The following is a 17,996-nucleotide window of genomic DNA, read 5'->3' on the forward strand; positions in this document are numbered from 1 at the left end:
GATCACATTTTTTCGCCTGGCATTCACAGTTATTCATGCTCACTTCTTATCTTTAAAAGCTTACCTGTAATTATTTGCTAGGTGAATACTCTTTGCGCCTGGTGCAATGTGCTCCACTCCCTGTTGGTCCGTGACTGAATCTTGTACTTGCCTAGCACTCTGCCTTTGTCTCTGTAATCCCTGTTTCCTAAGTACTGGTTATGATCACTTCCTCCTTTCTGTGGACACTTGTAACTATTTGCTTTTTTCCCTCTTGTCACATTTAACCTGTCTTGAGATGGAATTATGTAAGCACCTAGAAACACTAAGGTTGTTAACTACTGTTCCTCTGTCATCTCCACTACCAGATAGTAAAATTCTTAAGGCTAGACAGACTCTGTTTTAATTGATGTTGTATCACACAAGTTGGCCATACCATGAACATTCAGCTACTTCTCAAAGGAAATGGTGCTTGATTTTTTTATTTTTAATCAGATGATGATCTTCAGTAGAATTTAAGGCCTAATTTGCAAATTGAAGAGCACCAATGGAGGGCTCTTTACTGGACCATCAAAGGTTTTGTACTTAGGCCAGAGGACTCTGTGTTTTCTAGTTTGGTGAAGACAAACAACCGTTAAGGCAGTGTCATTTCACTTAACAACTTGAAACAGGAAAGAAAAAAAATAACCCAGATGCCCCCTTGTAGTTATCTTGCTTTATTGACATTGTATTTTTATTTATTCTACAAAGGTGGCTGAGTTTTTAAAAAAGTATGTTACATGCAATTGTGAAATTGTTTTACATTTTGTGGTTAATTTTGACAGCTTTTTTTGGATGCTGAGCTTTTTGGGGGTAGAACCAAGGTCTATTCACCTGTGCATTCAGTTGTCCAGTAGTACTTACTCAGCACCCTTTTTTGTTGTTGTTTAATTAAGCTCTTAGAAAACATTGTTTCCTCTTCTGAAACAAGGAGTTAATATCTATTATGAAGATTAGAGAAGATAATGTGTGACAGTACCTGACAGTGCATTGCCAAATCTCTTCATAACTATGAGTGAACTTTTAAGTTCCGATTTGGTTATACGCTTTCAGTGAAATCTGATTTGGAAATTATAGTGACTTTATTATATATTTGGTATCACATTTATCCTGAATAAGTATCACATTTGTGTTTGAAAAATATCTGAATAGTTTGTTAGATAATTATGTGTCCCTCAGCCATATTGAATTTTCAAGTTTCAATCAGCTATATAAAATTTTGACCTATATAGTAGCATATGATTTCACTATAAAATGGAAATTATTTGCAACAAAGGACACTATATACAATATTAACAAATGGTTCTTTTTTGGGTTGTTTATGTTATTATTGTAGTGATAGCTCCTAGGATGTAATTTTGATTGTCCGTTAATGTATTTCCTCTAGAGGTAGTAGTTTTATTCAAGGACAAGCTACTGACACTAAAACAATTATTCTAAATTTTCAGTATTCCAAAAAAACAGTGGAAATTTATAATGCATTTATCTCCAGTAAAGGTGCTAAATTGTACAGGATGGGCATGGTGGCTCACGCCTGTAATCCCAGCACTTTGGGAGGCTGAGACAGGTAGATCACTTGAGGCCAGGAGTTCGAGACCAGCCTGGCCAACAGGGTGAAACCCCATCTCTACTAAAAACACAAATATTAGCCGGGCATAGTGGCACGTGCCTATAATAACAGCTACTCATGAGGCTGAGGCAGGAGAATCCCTTGAGCCCAGGAGGCAGAGGTTGCAGTAAGGTGAGATAGAGCCATTGCACTCCAGCCTGGGTGACACAGCAAGACGCTGTCTCAAAATAAATAAATAAATAAATAAATAATAAATAAAAATAAAAGTGCTAAATTGTACAAACATGCCAAATATCTTTGCTTTTAGGCTGTAGTCAACTATTGTGGTTAATACTGACATTCTCATGCTGGGCAGATTGAAAAGGCTATGTCTTCGATATTTTAAAAATAATGAAAATGAATTAATATTTGTTAGTATGTTTCATCATGGGGTGCACAGTAGGGAAACTTGGAAAAGGTCCTTGATGTTGTCAATGTTAGAGAATGTACTAGAAAGTGAGACGGATGTCCTTATGTTGATCCTGGGTCTTATATAGTGTTCTTTCTGATCTTGTATATTATCTTGGTTTTCTTTCACCATTTCCCTCCTATTTTTTTGTCAGAACTTGAAGTAGTTTCATATACATCCAATAGAGCTCATTTGGTAGTTATCAAAATGATTAAAGCCTTGACTTGGGATTCCAAAGTTAAGAGTCTTGAACTACCATTTCAAAGCTGCCACACTTTTCTAGTGGTCGGGTATAATATTTCATCTCCAAAAGATTGGGACTGTTTATTCCTTTGTTTTATCTTGCATGCATCTGGTGAACCATTCATCTACCCACAGCCTGCTATTTTTAGGGGACTAAGTTGGGAAGTTGAGTGGTTAATGACTGAGCTGTTTTAAATAGCTGGGCACTTAGTTAATTTGGAGATTCTTTGTCTATGTGTATCAGCTTTACAAATGAGGTCAGTCAGCACATGTCTGCTAACTGTTTCAAAAGTCTCTCTCTGCAGGAAAGTGGTTGTAAGGCCTTTTCTACAGAGAGACTTTGTTTTTGGTTTATCCTAGTCTTGTAGAATTGCAGTAACATTAGAGGCATTTTGCAGTAAGTATTATTTTAAAATATGGAATGATTGTTGTTACTAGTTTGCCCATTTTAACATTTTTAATTATCTTTGAAATAGTGCCTTCTTGGACGCATCTATCGGGGAAAAATACCAGCTGGTAATCCCTGTTCTGCCTCTAACTTGCATTGTGACGTTTTGACTTCAGTTTCCTCAAGAAAAAAATGAAGTGGAAAAAATGAATTTGTAACATCTTTTTCCATTTTAGTATTCTTGGATTCTGTCTATGTAACTGATTTTAACTGCTCTTTTAGATAAATGAGGAGCATGGGACAGGGAGGAATAGCAATGAACAATTTCAGGATTGAGACCATAATGAAAGGATTGTGTTTGATCGTTATACAATTTGAGTTCTTTGACAGACTTCACAATGGAATGGCAATTTATTTTTTAATCCTAAAGTATGAAATTATTTTTATTTTATTTTATTTTATTTTTTCAAGACGGAGTCTTGCTCTGTTGCCCAGGCTGGAGTGCAGTGCTGCAGTTGTGGTTCACTGCAACCTCTGCCTCCTGGGTTCAAGTGATTCTCCTGCCTCAGCCTCCCAAGTAGCTGGGATTACAGGTTCTTGCCACCACACCTGGCTAATTTTTGTATTTTTAGTAGAGACAGGGCTTCACCGTGTTGGCCAGGCTGGTTTCTTAACTTCTGACCTCAGGTGATCTGCCCACCTTGGCTTCCCAAAGTGCTGGGATTACAGTCATGAGCCACTGCGCCCGGCCTAAAATTATTTTTTAATCATTGGAAAAAGGTCTTTTCTAAGAAGTTGCCTTACATGCTAGTCCTTGAGATCCGGGTAGAAGCTCAAATTAAATTGTGTGACATTTCAGAATACTATTTAGTTTCAGTGGGCATGCCACCTTAATTGCTTATTTTACTATCTTGATTGTGTTCTCTAAGAGACTCATGCACAATATATGTATTTTAGAGAGTATTAGTAACAAAACAAAACCTTTTTATTCAAAAAGAATATATGAGGAGGAGGTATGACAGTACTTTCTCTGATGAAGTTTACAGATACAAAGTTTACCCTTGATATGTGTGGGAAATTGGGTACCTTTTGTTTCCAATGCTGTCAGCCCTAATTTGGGTCCTTAATACATCTCGTTTAGAGAATTATATTAGCATTTGGACTGTTCTTTCAGACTCTTTCCTTGCCAAACCAATTCTTGTATTCCTTCCAGTTTATTCTTCCTAAAATGGACTTATGCTCATGTCACTCTCTTACTTGCCTAACCAAGTAAAGTACAAACTCGTTACTCTAGGATTCAGGACCCCCTGACCTGAACCTCCAGTTCAGTATGACCTCCAACCTACCTCTCCAGCCTTAATCTCTTACTCTTACTCCCTACTTATATTACACTGATGTGCTTGGTATTTTCTGCACTTCTCTCAAGCTTTCTGCTATCGTCTGAATGTTTGTGACTCCTCCCGCAATTCATATGTTGAAATCCCAACGCCCAAGGTGATGCTATTTAGTGATGGGGCCCTTGGGAAATGATTGGGTCATGAGAGCCCTCATGAATGGAATTAATGCCCTTATAAAAGAGGCCCCAGAGAGATCCCTCATCCCTTGCACTACATAAGGTTAGAGTGAGAAGATGGCCATCTGTGAGGAAACAAGCCCTCTCCAGGCACTGAATTTCCCAGCACCTTGCTCTTGGACTTCCCAGTCTCCATAACAGTAAGAAATTCTGTTGCTTATAAGCCACCCAATGTGTGTGTGTGTGTGTGTGTGTGTGTGTGTGTGTGTGTGTGTGTGTTTTGAGACACGGTCTCTATTGGCTAGGCTGGAGTGCAGTGGTGTGATCATAGCTCACTGCAGCCTTGAGCTACTGGCCTCAAGCAGTCCCCTTGCCTTAGCCTCCCGACAGTTGGGACAATAGGCATGTGCCACCTTGCCACACTTCTCCATTTCTGTTTTTTAGCTTATGTTGTTATGTTTGCCCAGAATGCAAATACTGGCCTCCACCACTCTGTTAAAAATGGGGTCTTGTAGGATATATTTAAAATAGTTACTTTTTTGTAATCTTTATTTTTTCCTGAAACCCTATCTACAACCAAATAAGTGTAATTATGCCTTCCTTTGCTCTGCGTAGCAACTGTTACTCATATAGCACTTATCTTAAATAGCTTTGTTCTATTCTAATAAAATGCGTAATTTTCTCTACTTTAAAATTTAATTCTTTTAAGGCTTATCTTGTATTCATTCTTTTTTTCCCTCTCATTATTTTTAAAATATTTGGTAGAGATGGGATCTTGTTACGTTATCCAGGCTGGTTTTGAACTCCTGGCCTCAAGTGGTCCTCCTGCTTTGGCCTCCCAAAGTGCTGGGATTACAGGTGTGAGGCACCATGCTTGGCCTTGTATTCGTCTTTTATCTCTTGCAGTGCTGTACTCATGATAGTATTGAGTACCTCTGTAAGAGGTTGAGTTTTGGTATTCAAAAGTGATCAGAGGGCTTGCTACAAATTACTATGAAACAATTGGATAGCAGCCATATTTGACATATCAAGCTGTTCAGTTGATATTTAGGAGAAGGCTGACTCTGTTTTTGAAGTTCTGTCCATTTTAAAATAAGGAGATAGAGATATTTGTTAATAATGTAGTTCTAGCATTAAATAGATGGATGAAAAAATACTACCAGATTTATTTTTGGACTCCTAGCCTGTTTTATTTCTGTTATGGTTATATGTATAGTACATCTTTGTTTTGTGGGTACTGCATTGCTTGTATTTGATGTGACTCTCAAAATGTTCTAGCCTGAATTCCCTTGAGCCACTACCGTTAGACAGAGTGGGAGCTGGGTAGTCTAAAGTATGTGCTTTGGATAACTGATCTTAAGAAAACAGTTTTGGGGGTGGTCAGCTGTGTATGGCTTTATCTTGAGTGGCGGATAGTACCACTCAATGGGATGAATGGTGTCTAAGAGGATGAGGGTATTAGGAAGAAGAAGGGGATCTTATCTCCTTAAGGCTCCTGGGGAGGGAAACAAATGAGCATTAACTTTGGGGATTCCTCTAACTGAACTGTATGATATTGAAGGTACTTATTTTCTAGGTGGAAAGACATTTAGTTTGCTTTTAGATTAGGAAATTTGTAAGCCTGGCCCAAAGGTCAGAGGGTAGCAAACCACCCTTGACTATTCTTTCTTTCAATTTCTGGAAGAGAGGGTTCCAGTACACTATTTCCCCTTGCCTAAATGCTGTATTTACTTATTTTGCTTTATTTTTGCTGGTTGGACCATTGTTAGGGCTGCCTGGAGCTTTATACATAAGTATTCTCTTTTGAATGAGATTGTCAGTGGTTAGTTTAGGTTTTACTATTCTTTCTGAATCATAAAGATACTACTACTAAAGTAATTTTTTTTTTTCCTGAATCTTGTCAGGACTATTTTTCTAGGGAGTGGGATTATGCATCACTGGCAATTACCCATTTTTTCATTCTCTTGCCTGCATCACAGACTCTCTTCCGTTGAATGTTAATGGTCTATTTTTTTATACAGGCACAGAAAAAAAAAGTTGCTACTGACTCATGATCAGTAGGCCATGTATTCTGAAATATTTGTTCAGAGGTTGGGGGTATATGTGCTCAGATGTGCATAGGCTTTTGATGGTGTCTTCTATGATCACTAACAGGAGTATGTAAGATAGTTAACTGTTACGTGCAGTAATGTGGATCTAAGGATTTTTTTTTTTTTTTTTGTCTACCTAATGGGCCTAAATTGAAATTGGAATAGATCCTTAGTTTCATTAGCACAGTATTATGGTTAACTCATCCAGACAGCTCAGTTTAAATCCTAGTGAATAGTTAACTGGATTGCTAAATCTTTGGTAAATTTTCATCTTTTAGCAAAATGTTTATGCAACCCAAAGGAGAAATTCTAAGGATCTCAACCAAAATTGGTACTTGTTTTTATTTTTAAACAAGTGAAGGTAGCTGTTATGGGTTTTATAGTTTTTCACCTTAGTGCAGTGGGAACTTTAGAAATATTGCAAACTCATGAGTTTTTTTTTTTTTAAATATGTGTTTGTGTATGGTATTTTTTGCCTATCCATAGGGATGGTTGGAAGTGCATTTGTAAGGGCTGTATGAATCCATAGTGTTCGAGGTTGGATGTAACTAATGCCCATAAATTTCTAGCTTGAGAAACCCTTATATACAGATTCAAGGTTCAGATTTGTTTTCATCTTAGAATAGTGGCTGTTTTTTTTTTTTTTTTTTTTAAATACACTAAAGGTATTTCAAAAAGTTGTGGTGGGCCATTATGGATAGTATAAGGTCAATTTCACTGATTTTTTTCTTTTTTTCTTTTGCTTTGGAAGACGAAATATAGGAAACAATGTGTAAGAACCTGAATTTAAAACAGGACCTTCTCAGAGCCTCTTACAGAAAATATCCTGAGTATTATATTAACTGTAATTGGTATTGTTGGACTAATAGTCTTTCTTTGAAAATGCTAGTGCTTCATTAAATTTCCCGTAATTGTAGTGATTGTCCAAATTTAGTTCCCTCATTTAACCATGAGAAAATGGAGTAATGAATGAACCCAAAGTCACATTATTAGTGTTGATTGTGGAGAGTAGAACTTAGTTCTCGTGACCAGCACTTTTTCTAGTAGTTATGGCCTCTTTCTTTTATTTTTATTTTTCATTTTGTTTCCTTATGCCTAAGTACTTTTACTTATGGCCTCTTTAATTGGCTCCTATGCTGTATAGGCATTGGCCTGTAGCTATAGTCATAGCTCCTGTATGTATGGGCATTGTCCTTTGATTGGGGTGGGGACTTGGAACTGGTTTAAGGGACCTCGGGACTTTTAATAGTCTGAAGGCAGCTGGAGTATTACTGGGTGCATGGGGAGTATGAGGTGGAAGACGTATTCTCAAATATTTTTGCTTGAATTTCAAAGTTAAAGCTTTTCTGCTTTGTATTTTCCTAAGGCAGTCAAACCATGTGTTACAGTTACTTGAGCTAAGATGTCACGATTAATTTTAAAAGTTTAAATTCCAGCTTCTCCCAGGTTAGTCTGTTCTCTCAGTTTAGAGAGGACAAGTCATACATGAAATAGTGTATTTGTGAACTGTAAAGTATGTAGCGTAAAGGTGCAATACTTCAGCTTCTTCAGTTGAATTCAGCATAGCAACACGGAGGACCTCCTGTAGGGAGAAAGGTAAAAGAGAGAAATAGCTAAGTTCTTATCCTCTGCTTTTCTTCTCTTCCGAGTTCAAGGTTATGGCGCGTGGAGTCTGAAGTGCTGTAATATCGGATCCCTATTTGCATTTTACCTGATAAATTTATGTGGTGTTCAAAGTAAAAAGAAAACACGATTCTTCTAAATTCCTGTTTATTAGATGACAGCACAAATGCTTTAGACTTAAACTTGGAATACAAAACATCTGAATCTTTACAGTGATATAAATTCCTATGATATTATAAAACAGTTTCCTTAAAAATGACATGACATTACTTTTATGATACATTTGGCATATTTTTATACACAGGCAAGTAAAAAGTTGAAATAGAATGGTGCTTGATTTATGATTTTAAAACATTAAAGGATAATGTTTCTAAACTAAACTTACTTGGAAATGGCATTATTGTTTGGGTATAAAACTCAAAAGGATATTGAAAAGCAACTAGGATTTATAAGAAATATTTGTAGAGTAGTAATTACCAAATAAATAAAGCTTATTGTTTTCTTACATCCCAGTAATAGTTAGAAAATAAATTACATTCGTAATAGCAAAACAATGTATATCACCTAAGAGCTAAACTCATGAGAAATGTGCAGAACCTCTGTGAAAAAAATTTATATTGTTTAGAAGAACATAAAATGAAACTTGTCTAAATGGAGAACTATGTCATGTTGCCAGCTAAGAAGACTCAATATTGTCAATATGTTATTTCTTCCTAAATAAACTCAGTACAAAAAAAGATAATTTTTCTAATATTTTTCAAACTATGGAAGTAACACCATCATTATCAAGAAGAATTCATCTAGTGTCTGTACGTTTTTCTGAGTAAAACGAGCTTTTTCATAAGTCAAAATATAGAGCCTGGCATGGTGGCCCACACCTCAGGAGGCTGAGATGGAGTTTGAGACTGCAATGAGCTGTGATTGTTCCACTGCACTCTGTCTTGGGTGACAGACTAAGATCCTGTGTCTAAATAACAATAATAATAATAATCATAAAAATAATAAATTTTTAAAAATGTAACCCATTCCCCCCTCCCATCTGCCTCTAATAATTGTCTCTCTTTCCAACTTTAGATAGAGGCTGAGCCCCTGGCCATCTTTTCTCTCCCATTCTTTTTTCCATCAGTTATTTGATTTTTCTCTTATTTTTACTTGTTCCTTAATATTTTTTTATACCTGTTGAGGTATACCAGTTTATACCTTAACAGTTTATATCCTGTTCAGCCTGTAAGCCTGTTTAATTTCAAAAGACAAAACACAAATAAAACTTTTGTGATCTTTCCTACTCTTTCCTTCCTTCATTAATTGACTTTTCTGAAAAATAGATTTTGGTAATGGTTCTCAAAGTGTGGTATGTGGACCCCAAGGGAAAGGGTCCTCAAGACCCTTTGATAGGGGGTCTATCAGGTAAAAAATGTTTTCATAATAATACTAAGACGTATTTGCCATTTACACTGTATTGGCATTCACACTGCAAGCACCTTAACACTAATCAAGGGTAGTGAAAAGCATTTCATTACTCTTGGCCCTTGAGTACATTTCTTTTCTTTTTTTTTCTTTTTTGCAAAATATGCATAAGATTCACCATAATAATCATTTTTAAGTGTACAGTTTAGTGGCATCAAGTACATTCAAATTGTTGTGCATTCATCATCACTATTTCCAGAAAATTTTCATCATTTTAAACAAACTTCGTACCCATCAAACACCAACTTTCCACTTCCCCTATTCCTTTAGACCCTGATAACCATGATTTACTTTCCATTTCTATGAATTTGACTATTCTAGGTATCTTATAGAAGTGGAATCATAACAATATTTAGCATTTTGTGTCTGGCTTATTTTACTTAAAAATGCCTTTAAGGTATTCATCCTTGTTGTAGCCTACATCAGAATTTCATTCCTTTTTAAGACTGAATAATACTCAATTGTATGTATATATCACATTTTGTCTGTCTGTGGGCATTTGGATTGTTTCTACCTTTTGGCTGTTGTGAATAATGCTGCTGTACATATGGTGTACAAATATGTATATGTTTGAGTCCCTGCTTTCATGCCTTTTTGGTATATATCCGGAAGGGAATTATTGGATCATATGATAATTCTATGTTTAATGTTTTTGAGGAATTGCCGCACTGTTGTTCACAGTTCCTGTACCATTTTACATTCCCAACAGCATTGCACATGGGCTCCAGTTTCTCTACATCCTTGTCTCACCAACACTTGGCAATTTTTTTAATAGCCATCGTAATGAAGTGTTATCTATCTCATGAGAAATGTGCAGAACCTCTGTGAAGAAAATCACAATATTGTTATAGAACATAAAAGATGTACGTTTTCCTAATGATTAGTGATTTTGAGCATCTTTTCATGTGTTTATTGGCCATTTTTAAGTATATGTCTTTTTAATATGTGAAAAAATGGGAAATACAAAGCACTTTTGCTGCATAAGGAAGCAGTATCGTGTAATTGAGGAAGAGCACTTGGGTGATGGAGTTGTTTGCTGAAGTAGTTTGATTTCATAGAATATCGTCTTTACTGGAAACAGTGACAAACTATGATTATTCATTTAGACTTGGATATTTGGCAGACATTTTCTTAAAAGATGATCCTGTCACTTCGAGGAAAACAAATTACACATCTTATTAATGTAGGAATTTGAACTTTCAAAGAAAATCAGAATTTTAGAAAACTTGTCTTAGCCATTGTGAGCTTACAGTTCCCTATTACTTTAAAAGCCTTTCTGAGGAGACAGGTGATAATATGAACAAATGTGATTTTTTTTTTTTAAATTCTGTAATGGAATATCTGTATAACCTATATTTTCCAAGCACATGATCTTACACAAAGTACAAGATTGACCACTGGATTTTAATTGTAACTGCAAAAAATTCAGTGATGTGGTTTTAGATTCCATATTACAACTAACCTTTAAGAAAGTACTAATTATCATGTTTTGCTACAATAGCAAAGAAGAATAGGCTATTCATAGTTATCTGAAAAGACTATAAAATAGTCTTCACCTTTTCCTCTACTTACCTGTGTGAGGCTAAATTATCTTTATGTACTTCATTCAACCAAAACAACATATCATATAGATTTACTGTCAAAGTAGGTGTGAGAATCCAACAGTCTTCTATTAAGCCAAATGTTAGAGTTTTGCAAACATGTTAAACATTGCCACTCTAGTCTCCAAGTTTTTCTTTTGAAAAATATGGCTATTTTTTATTAAATTGTTATGTAGGCCGGGTGCGGTGGCTCAAGCCTGTAATCCCAGCACTTTGGGAGGTCGAGGCGGGCGGATCACGAGGTCAGGAGATCGAGACCATCCTGGCTAACACGGTGAAACCTTGTCTCTACTAAAAATACAAAAATTAGCCGGGCATAGTGGCGGGCGCCTGTAGTCCTAGCTACTCGGGAGGCTGAGGCAGGAGAATGGCGTGAACCCGGGAGGTGGAGCTTGCAGTGAGCTGAGATTGCGCCACTGCACTCCAGCCTGGGTGACAGAGTGAGACTCCGTCTCAAAAAAAAAAAAAAAATTAAAAAAAAAGTTATGCACCGAGTTTATAATTTTAAATGAATTAATAAAGGTTTAAAAATTTTCAGATTTAATTTCTAATATAATATGGATTTATATAACCCATGTAAGCAGAAGCACTCGGTGGTTGTTGATAGTTTTTAGGAATGTAAAGGGATCCTGAGGCCAAAAGACTTTGAGAATCTCTGGGTCTACAATGTATAGTGTAATAAAACAGTCCGATATAGTAGCTAGTAGCCACATGTGGCTATAGAGTACTTAAAATGTTGCTACACTGAATTGAGATATGCAGTGTGAATAAAATGCACTTGGATATAAAAGCCTTAATATGAAAAAAGAACATAGAAGACCTTATTAATATTTTTATACTATTGATTATATGTTGAAATAATATTTTGGATATATTGGGTCAAAAATGTATTATTAAAACTAATTTTACAGTTTTTTTTTTACCTTGTTAATGTAGTTACTAGAACATTTAAAATTTTATATGTGGCTCACATTATATTGGACATACTGGACAGTGCTGATCTATAGTATACAGTTTACAGTGTATAGTGTGCACTTTGCAGTTGGGGTTATTCGCCTGGGGTTCATAAACATCCATGTGCATTTTTCTTGGGAGAGGGCTTATGGCTTTCATCATATTCCCAAAAGGCCGTGTGACCAAAGAAAAGTGAGAAACTGCTGTAAAATTTGTAGACTCCTCCCCTGACCTCTGCTTGTAGTTACTTGGGTACTGCTTGTATCTTGGATCTGGGGGGGAATCCCTTTCTGACAATTTGGTAGGCTGAGTGAAATCTGTGTTGCTGGGGTGCAATGATATGCATTCTTGACCTCTCAAGTTGGAACCTGGAATGAATGTTTCCATAGAAAAGTTTTAACAGACCGTCATTAGGTATTACAGTACTGTTAGTATTAAACTGTAAACGGACCCGAGAACCTCAGAATCACATATAAGACTGTTTCTGTGGGAAAATATTCTGAATACCAAAAGTAGACTTAGAAACTGTCAGAATACAATCTACTAGTACATTGGAGATTCATACACTTCATGCTGGGAACCTGATCGAAATAGATAATTTTTTTAAACTTGAGCATTAATAGTGTTTGAAAAGATTAAGCATGTGTTAAAGTGGTAATCATTCTATTTTTTTTTCTTTATTTTTGAGATGTCCTTGCTCTGTCATGGTAGTAGCATGATCTTGGCTCACTGCAGCTTTGACCTCCCGGGCTCAAGCGATCTTCCCACCTCTGCTTCCTGAGTGGCTGGGACCACAGGCATGTGCCACTGCACCTGGCTAATTTTTAAAATTTTTATAAAGACGAGGTCTCACTGTGTTTTCCAGGTTGGTCTTGAACCCCTGGGCTCAAGTGATTCTCCCACCTGGGCCTCCCAAAGTGCTGAGATTACAGGTGTGAGCCACCATGCCAGCCGTCATAAAGTTATGGGATGTTTGATTACTATTTATCTCTAATCATAAGAGGGATTATATGAATAAGCCACTGCATTGGAGGGTATGTAAATTAAGTGTTTGCCTGTTTAGTTTGAATAGGTTGGTGATGCTGTGTATGCAGTAGATTCTTGGCTTATGTAATCAGTTCTCATCAAAAAAGACTTCCTAAAACAATGAAATTTCAGGGCTTGTTGAAGTGAAGAGAGAATGCTTGATTGAAGGTATTCCAAACATAATTTCTTCATTATAACCCTTTGTACTTCAGTTATATTTGCTCACATTTATCGCAGTGTGCCATAATAACTTTTTTGTCTTTCTCTCTCAATAGACTACAAACTCACACATACGGTGTCCCATTTAAAACGTATTCCAGAGACTTTCACAGACACTTATTAAAATTTATTGACAAAATGAACATGAGAAGAGCTCTCTAATTATCTAACTGTTGTGAGATAATTGCAGTTTAGGTGAGATGACCGAGTATGGTCATTGGGTGAAGGGAACATTGAAGGCGATCTGAGAAAGCAGATGATGGGTTAAAGAGTTGCAGATGCTAGAAGAAAACCTAGGCATTACCATTCAGGACATAGGCATGGGCAAGGACTTCATGTCTAAAACACCAAAAGCAATGGCAACAAAAGACAAAATTGACAAATGGGATCTAATTAAACTAAAGAGCTTCTGCACAGCAAAAGAAACTACCATCAGAGTGAACAGACAACCTACAAAATGGGAGAAAATTTTCGCAACCTACTCATCTGACAAAGGGCTAATATCCAGAATCTACAATGAACTCTAACAAATTTCCAAGAAAAAAACAAACAACCCCATCAAAAAGTGGGCAAAGGACATGAACAGACACTTCTCAAAAGAAGACATTTATGCAGCCAAAAAACACATGAAAAAATACTCATCATCTCACTGGCCATCAGAGAAATGCAAATCAAAACCACAATGAGATACCATCTCACACCAGTTAGAATGGCAATCATTAAAAAGTCAGGAAACAACAGGTGCTGGAGAGGATGTGGAGAAATAGGAACACTTTGACACTGTTGGTGGGACTGTAAACTAGTTCAACCATTGTGGAAGTCAGTGTGGCGATTCCTCAGGGATCTAGAACTGGAAATACCATTTGACCCAGCCATCCCATTACTGGGTATATACCCAAAGGACTATAAATCATGCTGCTATAAAGACACATGCACACGTATGTTTATCGCAGCAGCATTCACAATAGCAAAGACTTGGAACCAAGCCAAATGTCCAACAATGATAGACTGGATTAAGAAAATGTGGCACATATACACCATGGAATACTATGCAGCCATAAAAAATGATGAGGTCCTTTGTAGGGACATGGATGAAATTGGAAATCATCATTCTCAGTAAACTATTGCAAGAACAGAAAACCAAACACCGCATATTCTCACTCATAGGTGGGAATTAAACAATGAGAACACATGGACACAGGAAGGGGAACATCACACTCTGGGGACTGTTGGGGGGTGGGGGGAGGGGGGAGGGATAGCATTGGGAGATATACCTAATGCTAGATGACGAGTTAGTGGGTGCAGCGCACCAGCATGGCACATGTATACATATGTAACTAACCTGCACAATGTGCACATGTACCCTAAAACTTAAAGTATAATAATAAAAAAGAGTTGCAGATGCTCTTTAGGAAATCTGGTGGAAGAGGTGAGGTATTTTTGTACTTAATAGTTATAAGGCCACTTAAAGGAGTCCCAAAGAGAGGTTGGCATAATGCTGAATTTGAACAGCAATATATAAGAGTTCACTAAAATTTAATGCTTTTTTGGGGCCTGATATTCTGGTGAGAAGGAAGTTGTGTAACGGATGATTGTGGTCTATATCCAGGCTTTGTATTTATGAATGGAGGAGTTTTGATATGTAAAAATGGAGAAAGAGTAATATTAGAGAACTAAATCTGTAGTCTTTTTCAGTTCTGCTAAAAAAAGTTATTACTTCTAAAATGTGACCGTGATGTAGGAAAAAGTGGATATAAAGTAGGGGAAAGGATGTTGTGACTGGGAATAAAGAAAAGTCAAAAAGTAGTGGCTTCATTTTAGCCTTCATTTCAGCTTTATGCATGGGAGTTGTGATGAGGGGCCCTAGAGACTAGTGATATAGCAGGAAGTTCAAGAGTACTATGAATACCTCTGGCCTGTTTTAAATGTATTAATTTTTTAAAACATTGTAATTTTGGGGAGTCTTAGTCCTTAATACAGTGCTTCTTAAACTCTAATAAGTATATGAATCACCTGGGATTTTTTAAACTGCTTACATTTAGTACATCTGGGTAGGGCCGGAGTTTCTGTGGTATCTGCAAGCTCTCAGGTGATGCCAGTTCTGTTGTTTCCACAGATCGCATTCTTCCTTAGCCAGTCTCCTAAAAGAAAGGAAAAAAACTTACCCCAAAAGTGATCAAATCAGTCCATTATGAATATCTGCTTTGTTAATGGCCTTCAGATGGATTATTAGTAGCTAAGAGGAATAATGCAAAGATTCTTAAATTTCATCTAGGGTCCTTTATTGAACAGATTCCTTGACTTGAATCCCAGAGATTCAATTCCAGGTTTAGGAAAAGGTCCAGAAAACTTCAGGTTTAATAAATACTCTAGGTAATTCGGTAGTATTGGGATTTTGGTTGGCATTGTATGAAAACTAGATATTAATTTGGAGGGATTGGCATATTGAAAGTATTAAGTAGTGCTTTCCAGAAATATAGTGTGTCTTATCATTTTTATTAAGTTTTAAAAGTTTCTCTCAGTAAAGTTATTCTTCATTTAGGTCTTGCAGCTTTATAAGCTTGTCACATATGTTTTATGTTTTTTTTGTAAATGGGTTGACCTTTCAGCAATGTGAGAAAGTTTTCTGTTGATTATCTTGAAGATAATTTGTCTTTGATTAGGAATGTGTTCTTTTTTATTTTAGAGATAGGGTCTTACTCTGTTGCCTAGGCTGGAGTGCATTGGCATGATCATAGAGCTCTCTGCAGCCTCAAACTCCTGGGCTCAATTGAGGGATACTTCCTCCTCATTTGGGACCACAGGTGTGTGCCACCACGCCTGACTAATTTTAAAAATTTTTGTAGCAATGGGGGGTCTCACTTCGTTGCCCAGACACGCTTCAAACTCCTGGCTTCAAGCAGTCCTCCTCCCTTGGCCTCCCAAAGTGTTGGTATTACAGGCATGAGCCACTGCATTTGGCGGGAATGCATTATAATAAGCTTATCACTTAGGCCTAAGAATCAAAAAGACAGATCCTACCTAGGAAAGTCTTGGAGTTTGGTATGTTTTTAATGAACTAGTTTCCTCAAGTGCCAGTAAGTCAGGTCCATAGAGAAAGCCATACTCAAGTCATAAAGGTGAGTGTTGCAAGAAATTATATAAGATTTTGGTTGAAAGAAGCGAGAAATGGAGATACCTGCTGGATGCCTGTGAGAAACCTAAGTGTTTCAGAGGTGGGTCGAAGGGGACAGCCTGATTAGGAAAAGTTATAGAAATACATATGTAGTCTCATCAAGGGAGAACATAACTGGTTTTCTTTTCTTAGCTTCCTTTCTGTAGCATAAAAACAAATTATTTTACTCTGAAAACAATTTGTTCTTAGAAAAACTATGATCATGTGTTCTCAAAGGAATGACTGTTAACGGTAGTCTTCCAGCATATCACTTTAGGATGGGCAGTATTCTTTAGGGAAACTCCAACGGATACTTGGAATTCTGACTTGAGAATTTCACTGTAATCATCATTAACCCAAAAGTACACATAACTACTGTCCTTTTAAGTGAAATATATTTTAATATAAACCTAAATGTTTATAAAGATTTACAATATCACTGCCTTCTTCCTTTTGCTGTTGAGAAGTTGATAGTTACTCCAGTTGCTTTCGTGGGTGATTTCACATTGAGGCTAAGTGCTGAATGAGAGAATACAAGCTGAGAGAATTAAAATCTGGGTATCAGTGCTTTTAAGACAAACCTTGTTCTTTTTATGGCACTTACTTTGTCTGAAATTTTAAATGTCTTTCTAGACCGTGCTGACACACATGGAAATATCCATAATAACATTATCAAATTATTTTATTTTGAGATTTTATTAGAAACTTCTAATTGTCTAGAGAACTTTCTACTCCACAGACAAATTAATATGCTCAACATTTCTGAAAAGACAGGGCAACAGTGCCGTTCTAATTTTTACAAGAAGGAATCTGAGGCCAGGTTCCCTTAGAAGCCAATTTACATTGACAGTTTAAAGAAGTGGACATACAAACATATATAGGACCAGAATTAGGAAAAAGTTCTGTTTGCTACATATTTCAATAAAGATATTAAAAAATAACTTGATTGTCCGTTTTTTTTTTGAGAATATCATGAAAGTTCTGTAGACCCTTTCCCCAGAAAAATTTGCATATAAAACCTACATATGGTTTCAGATGGTGCATAGACTTTATGTAAATACCCTTGCATTATATTCGTTGATTTCTTATAATGTTTACAATTTGAAATTGGCATACAGGTTTTGTATTTTAGTTACTTAAATGTTTTTCATAGTGGTTATAGGTATTTATAATCAGCATGAAAATATTAGAAAGTGAAAGTGTATAAGAATTTGTGTTTTTAGCTTACATACAAATGGAGATCCTGCTGTGGATTCAAATGTGTGTATTTGTGTATGTAATTAGAGTTTTACATCCAAGTTTTATCTTAGTATGATTTGGCTTTTGTATCAAAAGTACGTAAGATGTTTGTAAGGCTGTGTCTAGACTTATCTCTGAGTATCAGAATAATCTGACTAAATCTTGCTTACTCATGTGCTATGGTTACAGTGATATGCTATAAATGGGTTATAGGTGTACCAAGATTTGATTTTTCCTTTCACCCCCTCAGAGTAGCCTGGTTGTGGTTGAAGGTCCCTGCCTGCCAACTCAGGTTGAAAGTAGACTTCATTTACCCAGTGGTCTGGCCAAGTTACTGGAAAACAACAATAATAACTAGGTGGTTTTTCATTAGTAGGATAAATACAGATTTAGTCGATGGAATATTAAGTGCGGGGAATAGTGGAAGTCGGTGAGCAGGATAT

General features: G+C 36.4%; 1 protein-coding gene and 2 long non-coding RNA genes across 8 annotated transcripts in view; 2 read left to right on the top strand and 1 right to left on the bottom strand.

The window, feature by feature from the left end:
* Nucleotides 1-17,996, top strand: part of BMP2K (BMP2 inducible kinase) — a 140,016-nt gene that overhangs the window by 5,644 nt on the left and 116,376 nt on the right. The window lies entirely within an intron of this gene.
* On the top strand, nt 6,924-17,255 carry LOC124900722 (uncharacterized). The gene is made up of 2 exons (XR_007058153.1): nt 6,924-13,109; nt 13,217-17,255. It is a non-coding gene; the product is annotated as an uncharacterized LOC124900722 (long non-coding RNA).
* The window catches only part of LOC105377299 (uncharacterized), a 38,333-nt gene continuing 28,077 nt past the window's right edge, over nt 7,741-17,996 (bottom strand). Inside the window, exons 3-4 of the long non-coding RNA XR_938918.4 lie at nt 15,197-15,301; nt 7,741-7,852 (exon numbers count right to left, since the gene is read on the bottom strand). This is a non-coding gene — a long non-coding RNA (uncharacterized LOC105377299). The remainder of the gene's footprint in view (nt 7,853-15,196; nt 15,302-17,996) is intronic.

Source organism: Homo sapiens, chromosome 4 (genome assembly GCF_000001405.40).
Source record: "Homo sapiens chromosome 4, GRCh38.p14 Primary Assembly".
Classification (NCBI taxonomy): Eukaryota; Metazoa; Chordata; class Mammalia; order Primates; family Hominidae; genus Homo; species Homo sapiens.